At 44.4% G+C, this 3,674-nt stretch overlaps 1 annotated feature.

Annotated features, from left to right (window-relative positions):
- Positions 246-747: an enhancer, noted in NCBI's record as "NANOG hESC enhancer chrX:123057919-123058420 (GRCh37/hg19 assembly coordinates)". NCBI's record gives its function as "activates a minimal SCP1, AML or CMV promoter by ChIP-STARR-seq in primed H9 embryonic stem cells {active_cell/tissue: H9 hESC(primed)}" and the evidence as "EXISTENCE:reporter gene assay evidence [ECO:0000049][PMID:30033119]".

Raw genomic sequence — 3,674 nt, 5'->3', positions numbered from 1 at the left:
CCCCCCCAAAAAAAAAGATAAAAAGAAAAATATTTGATTTATACTCATAGTCTCATATTCCATTTCATATTCCATCTTGGAACCAAATATTTAGATTCTTTGGGGCTATCAGAGAAAATGTGCTTTCCTTTGAACATAAAGTTGCCACTAAGTAGGATCCAAGTTTATCCAAGTTCATTAGAAGATATAAGCTTGACACTGCTTTCCTGTAATGGAGAGGGATACTACACTCTCTCCTTTCCTTCTCTCATATGGCAGAATGGCAAAAGGAGTGTGTGGGAAGGTTGCCCAGGTTATGGGTCAGTAGTTCTTTTTTCATGTGTTCTCAACTGGCTTTGTTGTTCTAGGTTTCCCCTTACTACCCAGAGTGACTGGGATGTTGTCACTACATCTTGCTGGTTTCTCCCCTCTTGTTTTCTGCTTGGCCAATCCCAGCCCTTCTCCTTCCCGACTTAAATATTCAACATTCTGATTTCAACATCTTTTTCCTTCTCCTGCTGTGGAGACATCTAAAGAATTTCACCTGCTGTGTGTTTCCAACAGGCCAATTAAAATATGGAGCAGGTGGAGGGAAAGAAGAGGAATAAGAACAGCAAACAAGAAATTACCAAGTATTCAGCAAAGCAAAGAGGGGCCTCCTATTAGGTTTCAGTGAAGCCACTGAGCTGATCTTTTACAATCTTCACGGACTGTTGTCAGAGAGGAGATGAGTGAGCCAACTGAAGTGGAAAAATTGAAAAATGAAGGTAGAAAATGATCTGGAAAACTATACTCCCCAAGAAGAAAGACTTGGGCCGGGTGTGGTGGCTGACGCCTGTAATCCCAGCACTTTGGGAGGCCAAGGCGGGTGGATCACCCGAGGTCAGGAGTTCAAGACCAGCCTGGCCAACATGACGAGACCGTGTCTCTACTAAAAATACAAAAATTAGCTGGGCATGGTGGCAGGCGCTTGTAATCCCAGCTACTCGGGAGGCTGAGGCAGGAGAATGGTGTGAACCCGGGAGGCGGAGCTTGCAGTGAGCCGAGATCGCGCCACTGCACTCCAGCCTGGGCGACAGAGCTAGACTCCGTCTCAAAAAAAAAAAAACAAAAAAACAGAAGAAAGACTTTAAGTATCCTAAAGTCCAAAGGATTAATGGTCCTTACTACTACTGTGGGTTGCATTCTATTTTAAAGACAACTGGTATCAGTGGATAAATAATGTAGTAGTAACTTGAGAACATGGAAAACCTACCTGAGTTGTGTCATTTCAAATACCTATTAAAGAGTTGAGTAGAGGATGCAAGTATGAGAGACTCGCTGCAGTATGTAATTATGCACTTTGAAAGCTTGGTTCATCCATGGCTCTCAAAGCACATTACCAACTTTAATTGTTTTTTGTAACACCTCTGTAAGACCATTATTCCCTACAGACAGATGAAGAAATGGAGACAGAAAGGTTACCAGGCGCCTTCAGTCACCATGAATCATCTGTGGAGTTGCTCCTATTCCAGATTGATTTGTCATTTGAGTTAATTGACCATTTCCAAATGAAGACAGACTGCTTGAGCAGTGCTTTGAGTAAATTTTGGCTTCTAATTTTTGTTTGTTTGTTTGGAAGCAAGGGACGCTAGATTCATTTTAAGCTGTAATCTGTTTGAAGAGTTACTATTCAATAAAATGTACATGGAAACATATTAAAATATGCAAGACATATGCCAGCACACACATATAAGTTTATAACATAATAGACCAAGTGGGTCCTTTTGTCCTCCATCATTCACCTTGCACAGAAAACAAAACAAAACAAAATGACAAATGTATCATATACGATCATACAGCTTTAGGATCTGGAACAACCTCAGATCTTTTTTTTTTTTTTTTTTTTTTGTGAGACAGAGTCTCACTCTGTCACCCAGGCTGGAGTGCACTGGTTGCCCACTGCAACCTCCACCTCCTGGGCTCAAGCAGTTCTCCTGTCTCAGCCTCCCTAGTAGCTGGGAACACAGGTGCGCACCACCATGCCCAGCTAATTTTTGTATTTTTAGTAGAGATGGGGTTTCACCATACTGGTCAGGCTGGTCTTAAACTCCAGACCTCAGGTGATCCACCCACCTCGGCCTCCCAAAGTGCTGGGATTATAGACGTGAGCCACTGCACCTGGTCAATCTCAGATCTTTTAGCTTTTGTGACACTCCTTTCAGAAAACCTACTCCAATTATTGGGCCACACCTCATTTGTCCTTCTGTGTTCCTGTTGTAATGATAGTCTATTACACACAATCTATCGCTGTATCACACTGTACTTATACTCTTTTGTTCTTTTGATTTTTTTGGGTTAAACAACACAACAGTTATCAATGCCCCTGTATTGTATTTGGAATCAGGGAATAGCTTGTGAATGATGTATGTAAGTCTCTTTCTGCCAACGAGACTATAAACCCCAGGAGGGCTGAGTTTGAGTCTTGTTTTCTTATATCCTTCTTCCCAGAATTTCTGGGTACACATCAAACACTTAACACACAGTGTTAGTTTGATTTAATAGGATTGAGAGACGGTGGTGAGGGTAACAGTGAAGTGAAATGGGTTCTATTAAACTCATTAATCAAGGTGGCTGAATTTAAATATATATTTCAGGTGGCCGGGCGCGGTGGCTCACGCCTGTAATCCCAGCACTTTGGGAGGCCGAGGCAGGCGGATCACGAGGTCAGGAGAACAAGACCATCCTGGCTAACACGGTGAAACCTCGTCTCTACTAAAAATACAAAAAAAATCAGCCGAACATGGTGGCGGGTGCCTGTAGTCCCGGCTACTTGGGAGGCTGGGGCAGGAGAATGGCTTGAACCCGGGAGGCAGAGTTTGCAGTGACCCAAGATCATGCCACTGCACTCCAGCCTGGGCGACAGAGTGAGACTCCATCTCAAAAAAGTAAAATAAAATAAAATAAAATAAAATAAAATAAAATAAAATAAAATAAAATAAATATATATTTCAGGCCGGGCATGGTGGCTCATGCCTGTAATCCCAGCACTTTGGGAGGCCAAGGCAGGTGGATCACAAGGTCAGGAGTTGGAGACTGGCCTGACCAACATGGAGAAACCCTGTCTTTACTAAAAATACAAAAGTTTGCTGGGCGTGGTAGCACACGCCTGTAATCCCAGCTACCGGAGAGGCTGAGGCAGGAGAATCGCTTGAATCCGGGAGGCGGAGGTTGCAGCGAGCCGAGATCGCCCACTGCACTCCAGCCTGGGCGACAGAGTAAAACTCCATCTCAAAAAATAAAAAAAAGGGCCAGGCGCGGTGGCTTACGCCTGTAATCTCAGCACTTTGGGAGACCAAGGCGGGCGGATCACGAGGTCAAGAGATCGAGACCATCCTGGCCAACATGGTGAAACCCCGTCTCTACTAAAAATACAAAAATTAGCTGGGCATGGTGGTGCTCGCCTGTAGTTCCAGCTACTCGGGAGGCTGAGGCAGGAGAATCACTTGAACCCGGGCGGCAGAGGTTGCAGTGAGCAGAGATCAGCCACTGCACTCTAGCCTGGGGACAGAGTGAGACTCTGTCTCAAAAAAAAAGAAAAAGAAATACAAAAATTAGGCAGGCATGCTGGCACACCTGTAGTCCCAGCTACTCAGGAGGCTGAAGTGGGAGTTTCCCTTGAGCCTGGGAGACAGAGGTTGCAGTGAGCTGGAATT

Source organism: Homo sapiens, chromosome X (assembly GCF_000001405.40).
Source record: "Homo sapiens chromosome X, GRCh38.p14 Primary Assembly".
NCBI lineage: Eukaryota > Metazoa > Chordata > Mammalia > Primates > Hominidae > Homo > Homo sapiens.
This window is presented reverse-complemented; position numbering and strand designations above follow the sequence as displayed.